At 45.5% G+C, this 19,864-nt stretch overlaps 2 protein-coding genes across 2 annotated transcripts in view; both read right to left on the bottom strand.

Moving 5' to 3' along the window:
- The window catches only part of TBCEL-TECTA (TBCEL-TECTA readthrough), a 167,389-nt gene that overhangs the window by 34,923 nt on the left and 112,602 nt on the right, over window positions 1–19,864 (bottom strand). The window contains exons 17-19 of the mRNA NM_001378761.1: window positions 18,546–19,147; window positions 10,452–11,013; window positions 3,488–3,687 (exon numbers count right to left, since the gene is read on the bottom strand). Coding sequence (NP_001365690.1) covers window positions 3,488–3,687; window positions 10,452–11,013; window positions 18,546–19,147 — 1,364 coding nt within the window. The remainder of the gene's footprint in view (window positions 1–3,487; window positions 3,688–10,451; window positions 11,014–18,545; window positions 19,148–19,864) is intronic.
- The window catches only part of TECTA (tectorin alpha), a 90,248-nt gene that overhangs the window by 34,923 nt on the left and 35,461 nt on the right, over window positions 1–19,864 (bottom strand). The window contains exons 11-13 of the mRNA NM_005422.4: window positions 18,546–19,147; window positions 10,452–11,013; window positions 3,488–3,687 (exon numbers count right to left, since the gene is read on the bottom strand). Coding sequence (NP_005413.2) covers window positions 3,488–3,687; window positions 10,452–11,013; window positions 18,546–19,147 — 1,364 coding nt within the window. The remainder of the gene's footprint in view (window positions 1–3,487; window positions 3,688–10,451; window positions 11,014–18,545; window positions 19,148–19,864) is intronic.

The following is a 19,864-nucleotide window of genomic DNA, read 5'->3' as shown; positions in this document are numbered from 1 at the left end:
GTTTGAGAGGAGCCTGGCCAACATGGTGAAACCCCAACTCTACTAAAAATACAAAAACTCGCCAGGCATGGTGGCACATGTCTATAGTCCCAGCCACTCGGTAGGCTGAGGCAGGAGAATCGTTTGAACCTGGGAGGCAGAGGTTGCCGTGAGCCTAGATCGTGCCATTACACTCCAGCCTGGGTGACAGAGCAAAACTCTGTCTCAAAATAATAATAATAATAATAACAACCAGCATGGTAGTGCATGCCTGTAGTCCCAGCTACTCCAGAGGCTGAGGTGGGAGGACCGCTTAAGCCTGTGAGGTAGAGGCTGCAGTGAGTTGTGATCCTGCTGCTGCACTTCAGCCTGGGCAACAGAGTGAGACCCTGTCTCAGAAGTAATAATAATAAAATTAAATTAAAAATAATGTCTTACAGGGCAGTTGTGAGGATTAAATTAAATAAGATGTATAAAACACACTTCCGGCATAGGATAGGCACTCAAGAAATAGAAGCTGCTATTACAGGAGTAGAATGGCTCATCCTCTTTCAGATGGTGAAGAAATTATACAACATTATATAAAATACCTACAACATAGCGTATCCTCAACTGGAGGCAGCTATTCTTTTCTTTTCATTTCTTTCCCAGGAGTCCCACAACTAGAATGTTATTTTCTACTTTTTCCCAAAACAGGCAGCAATCTGCAGGCACGACTCTGCTTGGTAGGGTTTGCATTCTTGATGTTGCACTTGCTCTAGACTAAGAATTCCAGGAAACTGTTGGAAATTGGTCATGATTGTCCAAGTGGGATGTGGTACCAATAAATAGACTGTGTCATAGAGATGTGGGCACTCAATGCATTATCGACTTACCAAAATAGCGTTATCCAGAAAAGATCTTTCAATAGCACAAAAAGGCCTATGCTTCTGTCTGGTCAGTTTTCTGCTTTAACTAGAGACATCAAAACCCTGGATATCAACTACAGATATGACTCAGATTCAAGGGTAAATAGATAGAGGAGGAGATCTTCCAGAACAAGTTTCCTGATTGCAGTGCACTTCAAGATGCTATTGCTGATTCTTTCATCTTCAAAGTGAAGTCATTCCTGGAACTAAGTCTACTCTCCTTCCAGACTTATGTAACATATTCTGGGTGCCAACAGCCTCACAAATTGACTTCATTTCTCTTATCAGATTTATAGAATAACTGAGTGGATGGTTTGGCCTCTCTCTGATAAGAAGTCAGACATTACAGTGGTGAAAAGAGAAAAATAACTTGATGTATGTGGATACGATAAAGGGTAAATAACTCATCCACAAGAGAATCTGATCCTGAAACTAGCATCACGGTAAAATGGCTGGCCCAACGCTGCTTTCTTTACTTGAATCATACATGACAATGACAGCTGGGTGATCACTCTACATGCTAATAGCCAGGCGTATTCTCTATTCATTTCCGAAGAAATTTGTTCTATGAACAAGTCCCCAGGCACTTTGGAATGGTGGCAAGTAGATGTGGATTCTTTGTTCTCTGAGTTTGCTGCTTCCCGGATGTAAGCTGTTGTCAAAATCCACTGAGGTTCTGATGAAAAACTGCTCATAATGTTTGCACTGTAGTACTAATAGCAGCCAAGAGCTGACCATGCTTTTCCTGAGAGTTCCAAGGGCTTTTCTTTGCATCCTTTCATTAACACGGCTGGATTTTTCGTTTACAAAATGTTTCTCAAGAGAATAACAAAACAACAATAACAATAGCAGCTACCAATTATTGAAGGACTCGATGCCAGGCACTAGGCTAGGAACCCAGCATAGATTATTTATGCAACAGCCCTACTGTGTTGGTATCATTAGTCACATCTCATTCACAGGGAAACAGATGCTCAGAGAAATGACAGCGTTTGCTCAGTGTCACACCTCCAGCAGTGGTACCGCTAGGATGGAACCCAGGTTTCATTGAATTATGCCACACTGACACTCAGGATGCCTGCCGAGGGTGCATGGCACAGTTGAGAAATGGATAGGTTTTGGTAAGTCTCCGGGCTGGGGAACACAGTTTAGAGAGTGCTTTTTGAGTTTTGAGCCTGGTTATATCTTCTCCTCAATTGTGAGAAAACAGAATTCATTAATTTTTTCCACATGTTCTGCCTTTTCCTTTCAAATAACATTTCTAAGAGCTCATTTCAACACCCCCTTTCCCAAAAAGTCTCCTTTGATTAGTTTCACTATTTTACCTTACTTCCTCCCTGTCTTTCTAATATAGCATTTAAATAAATTCTCCACTGAAAGTGAAATTGAGGGTAATGTCCACATTTCTTTTATTTATCCCCGAAGTTAGGGCAACTTGAATGAGTCAATGTATCTTTACAAAAAGGAGATATTATTTATTTTTCGCCTAGCTGATTTCCAATTCAGACATTTCAATTAGATTTATTTTAAAGCTACTATTCTTTTTCACTTAAAATTGATTAGTTCTGTAGGGTATTATTTTTCACTTGCTGATAGGTTATTTTGTAACTGATCTCTTGTTCTTTAAAGTACATTGTTTCTCTCTTCTGAATAGATTTTTAAGATCCTCAAGGCAGAGGACGTGCTTTCTCATCCCCCACAATACCACCAGCACAGTGCTTTGCAAACAGCAGATACTCAATTATCTGTAGTTGTTAACCATCTAACTTGCCAACATATGGTTTTGATATCATTTAAACAGAGAATGGGCTTGAGGTCGAACCATGAACTAAATACCTTGTCTAGGCAAGAGCTTTTCTAGCTTAGTATTATGGAATTCTAGCTTAGTATTATGGAAAGATTACAAAGTCCAAAAAGTGAAATGATTTCGTGAACTAATATGCTTTATTGAGAAACATCTACGAAGGGCATCTTCATGAACTCTATGTTTAAACTCCTGTAGAGGGCGCCGCAGAGGGTGGGATGTGGGGGCACCACATTAGCAGTCCAGACCAAACTCCAGGGATGATACCACAGTGACAAATGGCACACGTGGAGATGGCAGCCACAGCTACCCTCACGGAGCCTCAACAGACAGAAGAGGGAAGTCCGCCCCACTCAGCCTCCAGCTCCATATTTTCCAGTTACAAATGTCCTTAGCTAAGACAGCTACAAATATCAGATTCACAGCCACCGTGTATCCAAACTATAGCTCTATCTGAAGCTTTCAAACTGAGATTCACAGGACAGAAAATCAGAGAAAGGCACGACACAGACACACAAATGTGAGTGAGTAGGGGAGGCAGAGTGCTGGAGACCTTGCCACTGTGGAGGAGGGAGGAAGGAGACACTCAGGTGTTTTTCCAAATCTGACACTCAGTGCCCAAGAGCATCACCTGAACAGTGTGCTTAGCCTCTCTACCCCCCATCCCATTCCCCTGCCACGAACACGACGCTCTTCATAATGAAGTGGGAAAATTGGTCAATCTGACCAACCTCTTAGAGTTGGAGAGGAATCTGATCATTGGCAAGGAGGAAAAGGCCGGGCTGGCCTCCCATACCTCGTAATATTTGCCATCGGAGTAGCAGCCGCAGCTGTGGGGCAGGATGCAGCTCTTGCCGTTGAGGACGTAGCCAGCGTCGCAGTGACAGCCCTCCACGCAGTAGTGGCTGCAGTCACTCTTCAGGCGGATGGCGGCGCAGCGGGGCTGGCAGACACTCACGCAGCTCTCGTAATGGCTGTTTGGAGGGCAGGTGACAGCTGGAACAAGAGAGACAAGTCAAGACTCGCACGATCACAAGGCACCGAGGAGGGTTTTCTCATGGCCATTGCTCACCTACTCAGGGAGATGAAAGGCACGGGGAGAGGCAGGAGCCAGGAGGTCTGCCGCCTTTCTTCATTACTGCCCTCTTTGCTCACAGAAAGCCTGGGTCTGATTCGTTCCTGCTTAAATAAAGGGCCAACATGCAGACGGAGGTGGCTGGAGCTTCTCACATCATGGTCGTCCTCACCTCAGCCTGGCCATTGAGATCCTCTATGGCCTGCCACCTGAACCCACCGCCCATCTGAATCTCCAGTTAGACATGTCACCTGATAACCTCCCAGGGCACCCACACTCCTCCTGCCTCTAGGTCTTCATTCACATTGATCTTTCTTATTCATGCCCTTCTTCATCCTCTCAGCCTATCCAAATTCCTGGTTCTTCAAGTGCCAGTGGGAGTCCCACCTTACCCATGTAGTTCTCCCTCTTCGACCAATGTCAGCTCCTCTACACCCCAGAGCTTCTACAGAACGTTTTTCTAAGCCAGCAGCTTATCATCAGTAGATGCCTCAGCCCCATGATCTCTGAGAAGGCAAATGTACACCGTGTGTGTTTGTGTGCATGAGTACACGTGCTGGCATGCATGGGTGTGTGCACGTGCACATGTCTGTGCAAACTGATTCACGTCAATTATGTTCTGCCATTTTTCAAATGCATCTAGATGCTTCTATAGAAGGCAGGTAGGGTCCTGGTGAAGGGTGTGGGCTCTGGAACCAGCTATAAGAGACCCAGAGCGTCACTCGGGCTCTCTGAGCTTCAGCTTTCTTATCTATAAATACAGATACCAATAGCATTCACTTCATGGCTGATTGCAAAGGATTAAGTGAGTCTGTGTGCTCAGAACAGTGGTTGGCATGTAAGTGTTCAGTATTAGTCAATCATTAAAGATAGGTTTGCTTAAAAAGTTTCGTAGAAGCTATTATCTCAATCAACGTATACTAAAAGCACAGCTACCATTATGTGGGAACTTCTACCCTATACCCTATACAGTATCTATATGGGGGGTTATTTCATTTTTTAAATTATATAGCGGTAACACCTACTTTTAGAGTACACAGTTCTATGAATTTTAACACATGTATTGATTCATATAACCACTCTCACAATATACCATGTTTTTAAAAAACATTTGTAGTTTAATACATAATACTTGCATAGTGTAGAAAATCCAAACCATACAAGAAAAAGCGTGATGAAATGGCAACCTCCGATAGCAAACTATAGTCAATTTTTCCAGAAGTGTTCTATGCATATACAAGCACCCATCTGTGTGTGTGTGTATGCACATAAGCATACATGTATGCCTTGTCCATTATTTTTTGCATAAATGGGAGCATAATATATACACATTTCTGCTCATTGCTTTCTTTATGACAATATTCATTCCATTTAGCCTCAAATTATTGCTTTTGCACTGCTGCATGCTGTGTGTACTTTATGTGTTTATGCTGATGCTGCAGTGAACATCCCTGTATGTATACCTTTGCCCTCATGAGTAAGGGCATCTGTGGAATAAATTACTGAAAGTGGAATTACTGGGTGAAATGGTATGAATGCCGCTAAGTTGCTTCTAAAGAGACTGTGCCAATTTGTCTTCCTACCTGCGCTATTGGAGGAGGTTTGTTTTCCCACACTCTCCTTGATTGTCTTATCACCAAATTGTCTGATCCTTGGAAACAAGGTTAAAATGCGATATGTGCCATCTCCTTATTTAGTTTGCATTTCTTTGTGAGGTTGATCCTCTTGTTCTCATTTGTTTATAATCCATTTATATGTCTTTTTTTGTTAACTGCCTTTTCATATCCTTTTCACATTTCATGTTGTTGAAATTTTTATTATTAAATTATAAAAGTTCTTTAAAAATTAAAATAGGCCTGGCCAGGCACAGTGGCTCACGCCTGTAATCCCAGCACTTTGGGAGGCCGAGGCAGGTGGATCATGAGGTCAAGAGATCGAGACCATCCTGGCCAACATGGTGAAACCCTGTCTCTACTAAAAATACAAAAATTAGCCAGGCATGGTGGCATGCGCCTTTAGTCCCAGCTACTTGGGAGGCTGAGGCAGGAGAATTGCTTGAACCCAGGAGGCGGTGGTTGCAGTGAGCTGAGATCGTGCCACTGCACTCCAGCCTGGTGACAGAGAAAGACTCCATCTCAAAAAAAAAAAAAAAAAAAAATTAAAATAGGCCTTTGTGGTATGTCATATGTGTTACAAAATATTTATCATTTGCCTTTTGACTTTGTATTCATTTTTAAATAATTTTTTAACTTTTTTTGAAGTTGTTATCTCTTTGCCATGTAAAGATGTAAAATTTTTAATGTAATGAAATTTGTCAAGTTTCCCTTTTAGCCTTGGATAATTTGTTCTGAAATGTTCTCTCCACTGCAAGATTATCAAGAACGCTCCTTTGTTTTCTTCTAGTATTTTTGTGATTTAATTTTTTTCTGTTTAATCTTTGTTCTGCCCGGATTTTATTTCGGAGTAAGAAATGAAGGAAGGATTTAGCTTTTCCCAGCTAGTTTGCCCTTTGACCTTTTACTACTTACTGAATAACAAATATGTTTTCCCAGTAATTTGAAATGCCAGCTTTACCATACGCTAATTTCTCTTTAGTGTTTGGGCCTGTTTCTGAACTTTCTCTTCTTTCCGTTGGTTGGTCTTTCTGTTCATGGGCCAGTATTCACTTGTTTTATTTTTATTATTTATTTGTTTAACTTGTTCATATGCCAGTGTTAACAGTGACTGAAGGTCTGCGATACATTGTAACATTTGGGAAGAGGTATTACCAATTTAGAGATGTTTGTTCTTTAAGTATTTCACATGGGTCTATTTCTCCAACTAGATGATAAACACCACGTTTCACACTCTGATTCTTCCATGCCACCCAAAACAGTGCTGAGAACATGACAGATGGCTAAGAAACACCTGATTCTTGGAAAACAAACTTTCAGATTCCTAGAACTGATCCGCTGCTTCTCGCTCCCCACCAAATGATGTACTGAGAGCTGTGGCGTGATGACCTGGGCTCTGCACCTGGATTTGTACCGTGGTCAAGAATCTGTCTCTTGCCATACCCAGCATCTGTGCCTTGGTAGACAGGATGAATGGAGCCCCTAAAAAGCAATTCAGCTCAACAGAATGGACAGGGGCTTTGGAATCAGACCAACCTGGATTTGAGGCCTCGCTCTGCCATTAAGCAGTGTCACTATGGACAGGTTACTTACTCTCTCTAAACCTCTGTTTTCTCATCTATAAAATTGGGATCATAATATCTCCCTCATCAAGTAGTTATCAAAATAAAATGAGATATAATTCGTAAAGCTCCTGATATAGTGCCTGGTACTTCTATAATAACTTCTGCAATTCACAGTAGTAATAGTTGTAGTCACAGAAGGATTTTTTAAAACAATTATTCAACAGGAATTTATTAGATGTATGGAGAAATATGTAAGACAAATCCTAGTTACCAGACTTTGGACCCAGCACTCTGAAGTAGCAGCAGCTGCCTCCAATAAAAGGGAAAATGACGATGACAACCAACTTTGACCACATGTTAGGCACTGGTTGACCAGGCTCAGAGAGGCAGCATTGCACAGAAGGGAGAGCACTGTCTTAGGAGCCACTTTCCAACTTACCCAGGCCACCTTCCTGGGGAAAGTGACTTCATTTCTCTGAGCTTCAGTTTCTTCCTCTAAAAAATGGGACTATGAGTAGTACCTACCTGGCAGGGTTGCCATGAGAAGTAAATGCATGAGTCCCCAGATCCCACTTAGAACCTGGCACATAGTGAGAGCTAAGGAACTGTCATTTATTCCTTTTTTATTTCCTTCTCTTTCTCCTCTCACCATCTAATACCATCTAATTACAGTCCCCGATTAAGGGACTGAAAGAATGATAGACTCAGCTCAATGAATTTTAAGGAGAGGCTAGTAATTAAGACAATTTAACTTCCCTACTCCCTGTAAGCCTATTTGTTCAACTTAGGTTACAAGATTTTCCAACGAGTTTACAAATAAGGTAATTGAGTAATAAATTATTCCATTGATAGAAACAGTCAGATCATTGAAAAACACCAGCATTCTACCTTGTTACCAATAAAGCACAAATTTGATGGGCAGTTCTAGGTTAACCCCTTTGCTCCTAAAGCACCATTTCTCCTATCAAGCAATTGCTAGATTGGATTAATTTTTGGTAGAATGAGAGGTGGAGAGAGATGGGGCCTGCCCTCACATGATGGGGAGTCACATCAGATACAGTTACAAACAACCCTATTCTCAGGTCGAATGGCTGAGTTAGGACTCAGTCTCCTGAAGCTTTTCTCTGCTTCTGAGATTCAAAATGTAAAAGGAAGCTGCCTCCAACCACACCCTCTCCCCCAGCCTGACCCCCATACCATCTTTAAAACATATATTTTTTCTCCTATTTTAGTTTTCCTTTTTGCCATTCATTACCACCATCTCCTCAGGTGCTCTAACTTTTGGATCTTTGCCCCTATCCTGAAATGCCACGGTAGGGAAGGTCTAAGTCTCTTTGTGATGGGAACGATTCTAAGTTACCTGTTGGCCCTGGCGTATTGGCCTGGAACGTGCTGGTGGGAAGCTGGTAGAAGTCAAGGGATAGGACCTGAGACTGAGGATGAGGCAGGGCAGACTCGGCTCTGGGTGCCATGAGTAGAGCTCCCATTACTGGTGAGCCAGGGTAGAGAGGAGGCAACCAATGTTTGGACAGAAATTTGGGAGGGGAGAGGAAAGGGTTCCTGGTAGAAGGGAGAGAAAGACAAGAAAAATCACCTTCTTACTCTTTGTCCCTAGCCAAGCTTTGTAGTGGGGGCCCTTATTCCTTGGGGGTAAGGTTGTGAGGCCTTGCTGACTCAATTTCTTTTCCTTCCCATGAGTGACAAAAATTAAGACCCATCAATTGAGGTGAGAGTTCCTGGCATTAGCCCCCTGTGTGCATTTCCCTGTTTGTTGCAGTTGGAAGCATTGGTTTTTGGCATGCCTGTCCCCACCCCAGCCACCCTGGGAGCAGTACACCCAGCACAGCATGGCTGCAGGTGAAGAGGGAAGTCTCCACAACATGTCTCAAGGGGAAACAGCAGAGCTTTCCCTTCCAAAACAGCTTCCCCATTCTGCACCACGTTTAGGCCTTTGCGTCCAAAGCTGGGTTTTCTGATTTAGAGGAAGACAAGCTCTCTGGTCCTACTGGAATGACCCCCAATGAATCCAGAGTAGCCCTGGGGATTTATCCAGACCCGAGCTTTTTTATAGGCATATTTATTTTATTGAAGTCATTAGAGGCCGGTTTGTCAGGACCGTCATCCCTACTGGCACCATTTCCCACCCTGCCTGGCCTCACCCACTCAGGGACTGAGCCTGGATGAAATGGGATGGCATCTGTTCCCCGCCTTCATCTTCCTCCCACCCTTCCCTTACAATCTACGTGAATCCAGTTGTGTGGAATGTAAACTGACTGTGTGAGTGTTGAACCACAATGCTGTTTCTGGTTTTTCATCTGAATCTCCTTTTCCAGATGAAAATGGGAGTTGATTCTCTGGGGACCCTGCTGCATCGCTTAGTTAGAGCTCTATGCATTCAGGATCAATTTGTAGTTTTAAAAGAGCTACAGACCTTCTAAAAGGAATATGCTTTTTAAAGAAATATGCTATGGTTAATGAGATTGAGACAGGAAAATAGATCAAAGCAGGTTAGCTAAAGACCAACAGTGTTTCCCCCCCACCCCCACAAGTTTTTCCTATTCTTATGTGCTAAAGGCAGGTAAATTACCCCACTACATAGTCCAGCAGTATAGTATATGGGTTGGGAGCCTGGGCTTTGGGTTAGAAGCTCAAGTCCTGACTTTGCCACTCAGATTATATGACCTTAGGCAGTTACTTCATTCCTCTGAGTCTCAGTTGCTCCTTGACTAATTGGGTCATTGAGAAGAATAAATGAGGTATATTGATAAAACGTTTAGCATGGGGTCTTGGCTCAGAGCAAGCCATTAATATAACAGTACCGCTTAGCATGCACAGAGTGTGCCTGGCTTTCAATTACCTAATTGGATCCCCTTTACGTTTCTGAGGCATGAACAGTAAAGGCAGCATTACCACTGCTTTATGGAAGGGGAAACTGAGAACCAGGGAGGAAAAGTGAATTGCCCCAAGGTCACACAGATCCTTAAAGACAGAGTAAAGGCTAGAATCCAGGGGCTCTAGTTCCTTCTCTAATGTACTCTTAATATTCTGCTCTGTTTCATAAACACAAAGACTGAAACATGACATATATGAATCAAATAGAATAACATGCTTAGACAAAGCATGCGGATTATTAACACAAGGATGGGCCCATGAGGTGCTTGAACTTAGTAACTAATCCTTCTTTCATTAATCTCGTTAGCATTCTATTGTGAACTTTGTGCGTCCAAGTGCCATGTGTGATACTCTGTGATTTATATGCATGATCTTATTTCATCCTCAGGGTAACCCATGAAATAAGTGATATTAACTCCATTTTACCAATAAGGACATGGAGGCTCCAAGAGGTTACATGTCATGCTTCATTCAGATAACAAACTCAGTTCCAAAGTGCATATCCTTAAATTGCTACTCAATTTGCTCTGACTTCTAGGGAGTTGGAAGACTGGCCTTCCCAGAGCAATCAAGAAAGAGGAGAAGCTACAAGGAGGGACAACGAGAAGGACTCACTGCAGGACGTGTAATTCCTCCAGCCAGTCACCGTAATCCCCTGAGTCTGGCAGGTGCTGGCGTAGTTCTGCAGCCAGCTGCAGGCGGTCTGCACCGCGCCCCCATCGATGCAAGAGTCAAACAGGCAGTTCTTATAGAAGAAGGTGGGGTTAACTTTGCTGTGACACTTGGAGAAGGCAGCGTTCTGGTTGGGGATCAGGCTGCACAGCTGCTGCACTTTGGAGAAACCTTCCACCTTGGCACAGGACGGACAGCGGTCCCCACAGCCCACCTGGCAGAAGGTGTCCCTCTTCACCCAGCTCTGCCCAAACTCATTGACACTCGATGCAAGCAGACCCATGGGCATCTCCAGGTCATCATCAGGGTTGCCGTTGTAGCGGCCACACAGACCATAGGTGCTGTTCTGCATGCTCCGAGGGACTGTGATGGACAGGAAGGTCTTCCAGTCATATACAACCTTCAGGCCAAAATCAGTTTCCACCACCACGTGGAAGCCAAAGGAAAAGATATTTATCTTCCCTTGCCCCAGCTTCAGGGGCAGATAGAGCCGTTCACTGTTGACCTGTAAGAGGAGAGATGAGGTGGAGAAACACAGTTGGCCCAGAGATTTCCCAGCTCTTCTCCTAACGATGAGTCTCTTGAAAGACAAGTCCCAGAGGGAAGTTTGAGCAGGTTGAATGCAGTCTTTGCATGTACTGTTGTTTATGTCAGTCAACTATTATGATTAAGATTTGAACAGACGCAAATGACTATCCTTGGTACACTAATATACCTATTTATTTCAGTGCCTTCTGTTTACATAGCATTATTTCCCCCAGGAGTTCAAATTGTTTTCTCCAAGGTAATGTAAAGGTAATAAGAATTCAATTAAAGTTTAGACTGAACTACCAAAACATAGAACTCTTGTGTTTCTATTTCTAGCTCTACCATGGAATTTATTTTAGGCAAGCCCCAGTGTACTAATTCCTTCGAGATTTCTTTTTTCTTGAAGGATGGCTTCACTTTGCTGTTCCCTCTGTCTGAAATGCCACTCTCCACCCATCAACATCCCTCTCATCCTCCAGACCCTGCTCCAATGTCACCTCTTCTGTAAGTCAAGATTTTCTGAGCCCGTGGTCAGAATTAATTACTCCCTTGTCTGGGTAACCAGGGCAGGTTATTTATACTTCTCTTGTATTCCTCTCTACCGCTGGCCAGGATCAAGCCTGCATACACTGTATTGCAGCACACATCACAGTCTGCCTTATGTTACGGCTGGGTGTACGCTCTTCCATCTCACCTACAAGATTATGGGCAACTTGAGGGCAGGAACCACATTTTATTGATCTTTATGCCCACCTTCCCCTCATTACCCCCCAGGCACCCAGCACGATGTCTCCCATGGAGGGGGCACTTGACATATGTTTCCTCCCACATATTTTTAAATTCAGACAAGAGGGAAATCCCTTAACAGTAAACTCCAGGACTGCACTGCCCTTGAACTATTTTGATTCAGAGGAGCCAAATCCTATAGCCTGTGGCTGGGTTAGTGCATGATGGAAGATAGAGACAGCCAGCTTGCTCACTGCAGCAACGGCTCACAGGTGAGGTGGTTTGCCTTGTGGGAGAAGTAGGTGTTTTAAGATTGTTCTCTGACCAGAAATCCCTTCCCCCAACCTCCTTCCTCTCTCTCTTAGCTGACAACCCTTTCCACGCCACTGCTCCTCCCTTGGTTCAGACTCTTATCACCTTTCACCTTGACTGTAGTGTACTCTCCTAACTTGTCCCCCTGGCCCCAGGATTGTCCCTCCATTCAGTCACTACCGCCACGCCAATAATCTTAATGCAATTGAAAGCAGTTAATCCAATACTGAAAGCCCTCTCCAGGGCTTGAGTAAAGTGTCTGATATGCTTAGCACATCACCCTGGGCTCTCTAGGAGCTGGCCCTGCCTCTCAGATCCACCCCATTGGCTTCCTGCACACCAGCAACACCGAACAGTTTGCAGTTCCCTAAATGAACCAAGCTGTGACATTCCACCCTGCCATTTCCTGTGCCGTGAGTGTGAAGGATGCTTTCCATGCTCCACCCAGGGCCCCTAACCCCAGGCCCTGCGTCTATGGGCTAATGATAACTCACAGCTGGCCTTGGCCCCATGGGAACCACTTTGCCCAGAAGATTCTGACCCCCTAATTCAAGGGTAGTCCTTGGCCAATGACTGGCTGACACTGGGAGTCAAGTGCCAGGGCTCCCAGTAGCCCAGGCTAAAGCTGGTCTGCACCTTGGACCACAGCCCTGCTGAGATCTCTTGCCCTGGTGCTATCCTCACTTTCCCAGGCTCTAGGGAACCTGACCTAAGACAACAGGGATGCCCTTGACCCCACCTTTGTCCTGGGGCAATGTTCACCCTTCAAAACTCAACTATCTGCTCTTCTGTGAGTATTTGTTGAGGCAGAATTCATACATTCATCCAGTAGACATTGATTTGGCACCACTGAGTGCCAGGCACTGTGCTAAAGGCTGGAATAAAGCACATACGGCCTTTCCCTAGGAGTTCCCAGGCACATGGCAGAGGCAAGTACACAGACAGATAACAATATCATGTGATAAAAGCAAAGATAGAGGTAAACAGATGCACAGGCACCAGCCTCAGCCTGGGCACAAGATCAGGGCTGCCTGCAGAAGACAATGCCCACACCTGGTCTCAAAGGAGGAGGAGGGGTTGGCTAGTCAAGAAGGAGTGGGAGTGAAGACAAGGGAATTCAAAGTAAAGGGCTCAGCCCCAGCAAAGCCCCAGGTAGATAAGGGAAAAATATCCTGATAAATATGAATAATTACAGCAATTTAGTGCTGCTGGGGCATAGAGTGTGGCTTGGGAGTGGTGGGAGATGAAAATGCACAGGTGGGGAGGGCCTGGATCATGAAGGGCCTTGTATCCCATACACACATGGCAAAGAGGCCCAAGAGATAAACCCTGCAAAACACCCATTCGTTTTGTAAAACAAAAACATCAGCAATCTTACTAAGAGAATTTAAGTAGGAAGATGAGGCCAGAATTTGGGTTGCAGAAGCAAATAGCAAATAAAGTAACAAACAGGAGATTCAGAAGCAGAGATGATGCTCTTAAGGAGTCTGACCAGAAAGGGGAGGAGAGAGATTGGATTGAAGCTAGTAGGGAATTGGGGGCAAGGCTTGTTTGAGAATGAGAATGTTTATGAGTTGAAGAGAAGGACCCTGTAGAAAGACACAGAAGGGAGAGGAGATGACAGAGGGCCAAGATTCCAGGGAAGGCAACAAAGAGGTGGCACAGGAAGAGCGGCCACGGGAGGAGAAGAGATGCCTCACTCTCGGCACCTGGAAGGGAGGAGGTGGAGAGGTGCAGTGACAGTCATTTAAGTGACAGGGTGCATGGAGGGTGAGAGGAGGAGTGAGATCAGGCCATGGAGACTCTGATCTGTCCTGAAAGCTCACAGCGAATAAAGTAAAAGCCTTGCACTCAGAGGCCGATCGGTGCCAGCTGGCTTTTCTTCCTAAGTTACCTTGCATTCTATATCCCTGGCTACCTGATGTCACTCAGGAGGCAATGCCTTGAGGAGGCAATATAATTGGATGAAGCTAAAAGGCTTGCAAATTCTGCCATTGCCAAGGAGAGCCCTGAGACAGGAACACCCTCTACTCAGACAGGCTCGGCTTCTCTGTGTCTCAGAAACCCCACGCATGCTGCCTCCACCCTGGCACCACTGCCCTGCCTCTCTCTCTGTGAGTGAGAAATGGAGGAAAAGAGGGAGCTCAGAGGCAGGAGGTCAGAGGAAAAGAGAGAGGCTAGAATGGCAACAGGCTTGATGGATGGAGGAGGAAGTCGCAGAAGACGATGAGAAGGTATGGGAGGAGTGGGGGAAAGTGTATTTCAAATATTTAAGTATTGGAAATAAGACCACATATTAGAGTTTTTGGAGAGAGTTTTCCTTTAAACAACAGACCTTGACCTAGTTCTCCAGCAAGGTCTTCTGCAGCAAAGTCTCCTTGCATCCCTCACTTTACTACCCACCTTGAGTCTGCACCAATATTTCCTTTTCCTAGACACCCTCACCTCATTCCTGGCCTGGCAAGTGTAATCCTCCAGGCCTCAGCTCTGGGTCTCCTCTTCCAGGAAGCTCTCCCTAAGGTTCTCCTGGCTGATTTAGGTAACCCCTCCTCTGTGCTCTCACACCCTCCATGAGCAACATTTTTGCAGCACTTCATGTTACATGGACATTAACTGCCAATGTCTGTCTCTTGCGCTAGACTCTAAGCTCTCTTAGGACAGAGGCCATGTTTGATTCATTTTTCTACCCCGAGGACTTGGTAGAGAACAGACATCAATACAAGCTCATGATACTAAACCAAGCCAGAGTGATGCCCAAAACCCTACTCTTCTCTGATGGCCACCTGACTGGCAATAAGTGATAAAGACACAGGCTATTAGAGCCCTGAAAACCTCCCTGTTGGCCTGAACCATGTCAGACTTGGCTGCGATGAAGCCTGAGGGTGGGGGCAGGAGAGAGGCAGTCTCTGTTGAGCCCTGGCTGTGGATGGCTGAGATGGGCTATGGCGGTGCCCCCAGGAGTGGCTCACCTTCTGCAGCTCACCCCCCTACCCTGTCTGGTCTATAGATAGCACATTTATTTCTAGCTTCTCTTGGCTTAGTGGATTTTCCCATGTCCTGTGGTGCTGCTCAATGCAGGGAAAGGTCAGAGTCATAGAAGGACCCTGTGTCCCAAGGAAGCACTTTCATATCACCCTCCATTTCTAAGGGCCACAGCAGTGACCTGCACTGTGGGCTGTGTTTTACCCAGCACTTCATTTCACACTGTCATCCTGATGGCCATTATTCTTCAGGCTCAGGGAGAGATGGTGACTAATAATAACATCATGGGAAAACAAATGCAAATCATTGAATAAGCAGATCCTGCAATGCATTTTAATAATCCGAAGTAACTGTTAAATCTAGCCTCCATACCTCAGAAGAAAAGAACCCTCAATGCACCCTGAGCTTGGTCTTCTTGTCAAGAGTTTGAAAGCTGTATACTCTGTTTCCAACTTGCTTAGAAAGAAGTGCCCTAGCAAGGAGTCCCCTCACCTCTTTAATCCATTTCTCCTTGATGCTCATTGTCTCCAATGACCCCCTATTGTGGGTTACACTGTGTCCCCCCAAAAGAAATGTTGAGGCCTTAACCCCCAGTACCTGTGAATGCACTTACTTGGAAATAGGGGCTTTGTAGATGTAATCAAGTTAAGATGAGGTCACACTGGATTAGGTGGGGCTAACTCCAATGAACGGTGTACTTAAAAGGAGAAGGAGATTTGGACACAGAGAAAACAGAAGACACAGAGGGAAAGAGGCCATGTAAAGGCGGAGGCAGAGACTGGAGTTTATGCTGCCACAAGGTGACGAACATTGAGGATTGCCCACAGCCGCCAGAAGCTAGGAGAGAGGCAGGGGGTGGTGCTTCCCGAGGACCTCACGGGGAGTGTGAACCTGCTGCCACCTTGACTTTGGACTTACACCCTCCAGAACTGTGAGAGAACGAGTTTCTGTGGTTTTAGGCCGCCCAGTCTGTGGTATTTCATTATGGCAGCCCTTAATAAACTAATTCACACCTCCCCTCTCCACCTCTCTGTGAGGAAGAAGTCAGCTGTGTGGTTCTCCAGGCTTGGGACTTCAGCAATAAGTGCATCTCGTGAGATTGGGGCAGAGCACATGCCTGGAGGGAGAGCTAACCCACTGGGGGCTTAACCCTAAAGTAGAGGGAAAGGGAAGGAAATGCCTAGAGACAGTGGGGAGTCGGTTATTGTGAAGGAGAGGGAAGGGTAGCATGAAAGAAGAGTAGGTGCTCACGAGGACCCCACAGTCTATACATGAAAAGAACTGGGAGGATGTCTGAAACCAACATGCGTAGCCTCAGATGTTGCGGTACCTAAATGCAGAGAGTGTGTAACACAAGGCAGAAAACACAATTCATCATAAACTAGATGAGACAGGACCCATGAAGAGATTACATTTTAAAAGAAAAGAAAAACGTGAAAGGCAGAAAGGCCAAAGAGCACCGAATGTCAAGGAGATAAGTAACTGCATGAAAACACCTAAATCTAAGGGTGGAAATATATCACATAAGGAAACAAAGAGTAAAGGACAAATATGATGCGAGCAACGTGGGCAAAACGATCGATATATTTGTTTTAACATTAAGATGAAAATGGATAGAGGGAAGTTGTTGTAATGGGTAGCTTTGACTATCCAAACATCTAGAAATCTTATGTGGCTAAAAGCCAAGCCTCTGACACACTCCTAACTTGCCTCAGTGGCAATATAACCTCTCAGATCGTTGAAGCAGTACTGTGACAAAATCATGGGAACCCTGGAAGAAAGCGGTTATTTGTATCATTTCATTCATTATTTTTTTTTTTTTGAGACAGAGTCTTGCTCTGTCGTCCAGGCTGGAGTGCAATGGCGCAATCTTGCCTCACTGCAATCTCCGCCTCCTGGGTTCAAGCAATTCTCTGTCTCAGCCTCCCTAGTAGCTGGGATTACAGGTGTCTGCCACCACAGCTGGCTAATTTTTATATTTTTAATAGAGACGGGCTTTCACCATCTTGGCCAGGCTGGTCTTGAACTCTTGACCTTGTGATCCACCTGCCTTGGCCTCCCAAAATGCTGGGATTACAGACATGAGCCACCGTGCTCAGCCTCACTCATTCATTTGACCAGTGTTTCCAGTGTCACTAGGTGCAGGGGGCTGCCCATTCATTCAACATAAAGATGAATTAGGTATGTATGGTTCCTGCCCTTAAGAAGCCCATGATTAGAAGTGAGAACACTTTAGACATGAAGATCACGAAAAATACAGCCTGATGAATGTAATAATGGCTACTGGAATAAACTGTTAGGAGGAGCAGAGAGGAAAACAACTGGGATTTAGGTTTGTGGTGTGCAAGCAAGGGAAGAGGACGACACAGTGAAATTGCTTCCTTGGATGATAAAAAGGCAGACTTCCAATAAACATGAAAGATAATTCAAGAGGCTTGGGAATCTCTCTTTGTCAGAGAAGAAAGTTGAGGAAATCCCGAGGCAGGAAAAGAAGTCAGTATAGTTGCCCAGGGAACTCTTTAGTTAGGTTTAGATAGTTTAGTTCAGTATAGCTCAGAATTTTTAAGAGAATGTATACAAGATGAAAAGGAGTCCCTTTAGAGATAGAAAAATTATGACACAGACCTGTGATAATAATGTCAAGAAGGCAAGCACCCTAAATCAGCTCCCTAAAATGCTAAAGCAGAGGCTGCTGGCTTGATTGTTAGCATTTCAAGTCATGTGCAGAGCAGGACCCTGGAGAAAGAATAGCTGGGCCTGTGGCTGGAGCTGATGTCTGCAGGCCAGACGAGGAGTGCACAGAGCTCCTCAGCCTCAGCCCTGCTGCTCCTGTCTTCATGGCCAAGGAAGTGCTCTTTGGGTGAAAAGGGTGGGAAGCTTAGAAAGAGGGAGTTGAAGCCCAAGTGAGTAAAGGGATTGTAGGAGAGCCCCGAGTCCTCCAAATGCGTGTGAGACTCATGAACTCACAGATCCCTTGGGAGCCAAAAGGGACCAGGAGAGACGGAGGGAGGCCAGAAAAGGTGAATATCACCCTGATCTCAAAAAAGGGAAGTGGGTGGACAAGGACAATAGCATCAGTTAGGGAGGCCTAGTCTGTGCAAGGTAGGCATTTCTTTTACAGATGGAGTGGCCAAGCTAGGAGGTTAAGTGACTGCCTGAGGTCACACAGCAGCCACCAAGCAGGGATGCTAACCTCGGTCTGTGCTCTCTCCAGCATGCTCTGCTGCCATACGAAAGGCACTGCTTCCAGAGCTGGCTCTGCCTCCTAACTTGGTGTATGTGACTTGGGCAAATCATTTTTTTCTCTGAGCCTCTGTTTCCTTCTCTGTAAGATGAAGTGACAGAAAATCTCTAGGGCCTCTCTCTGCTTTAATATACTAAGATTTTCTTTGGATTCCGGACCTGCCTGATTCAGCTGCAGCCTGGCTTGCCGACCCCATCCTGACGTCTCCACGATTCCCCTTTTGAGGGGACCTCATGACTACTCACCAGCACAGTGTGCTTGTAAGCTCGGTGGATCACGATGCTGTAGCCAAACACGGTCACGTCCACCTGCTTAACCCACAAGGCCAGTGACGGGTCCCGGTCCTCATTCTTGGCTGTGACAACAAACTTGGGGAAAGAGTCTGAGCTTGGCCTGCTTCCTGTGGTGCACAGGATGAGTGGGCAGCTGGTCTGGAAGTCAAAGGGGAAGCCATCAAAGGTGAGGTAGTGGCCGTAGCCTGAGACGATGCAGGAGGCGTCGGTGCGGGCTTGGCAGTAGTACAGGCCACCTTCCTCCATGCAGTACTCATCATCCTTGCAGGGAATGGTCTCGCAGTGGACCCTGTTGTCTGTGCCACTGCAATAGCAGAAGATCTGGCAGTCCAGGTCCACCCAGAAGGTCTCATTGGTGGCAAGTTGGTGCCCCTCAAAGTTGCAGCCACACTCACTCCGCGTGACACACTGGCTGCCCAGTAGAGCATAGCCCTCATCACACTGACATCCCTCAGAGCAGCTATCCACGCAGATGGGGCCCAGGGTAAGGGTCTCACAGGTCTCTGTACATGTGATGCACTCCTCAAAGTGGCTGTTCTCTGGGCACTCCAGTGCTGCAGGTGGTCAAGGAGAAGACGGGTTTGAGAAAAGGACAAAAGTCAGAGACAGAAGTGTGCGTGCATGCATGTGTGTATGAGTGCATGTGTGTTTGTGAGTGCATGTGCGTGTGTGCATGCATGCATTTGTGTATGCATGCATTTGTGCATGCATGTGTGTGTGCACGTGCGTGTGTGCGAGTGCATGTGTGTGCATGCATGTGTGCGAGTGCGTGTGTGTACGTATGAGTGCCTGTGTGTGCACACATCTGTGCATGCGAGTGTGCATGTGCACGTGTGTGTGCATGTGAGTATCCATGTGTGTGATTGCATGTGTGTGCCTCTGTATATGTGTGTGGTCTTATTTGCACAGTACAGTGAGCTGTAGTCATCCTCATTTGGGAGATCCAAGTCCCAGTGGCACCCCTTCATTCACACACTCTGCTAGGGCACCTAGCTTTCCACATAGAAGGTTTTGAGTCTAAGACCCAGAATTGAGCACCTGCGACATGCCAGGCACTGTCCTAGGCACTTTTGTGTACCTTATCTCAACAACCTGGAAAGTAAGGTAAATCTTATCATTCTTATCTTACAGGTGAGGAAACTGAAGTTCAATGATTTAAATAAATCTAACTAGTAAGTGCCAGAGTGAGATTTAATCTGGGTCCACTGACTCAAAGACTCTGGAGAGGGAGCATTGTATGTTTTGGGACCACAGAGACCTGTGGATGCTGC

Source organism: Homo sapiens, chromosome 11 (assembly GCF_000001405.40).
Source record: "Homo sapiens chromosome 11, GRCh38.p14 Primary Assembly".
NCBI classification, from domain to species: domain Eukaryota; kingdom Metazoa; phylum Chordata; class Mammalia; order Primates; family Hominidae; genus Homo; species Homo sapiens.
The sequence above is the reverse complement of the archived record's forward strand: the minus strand, read 5'-3'. Positions and strand labels throughout refer to the sequence as shown.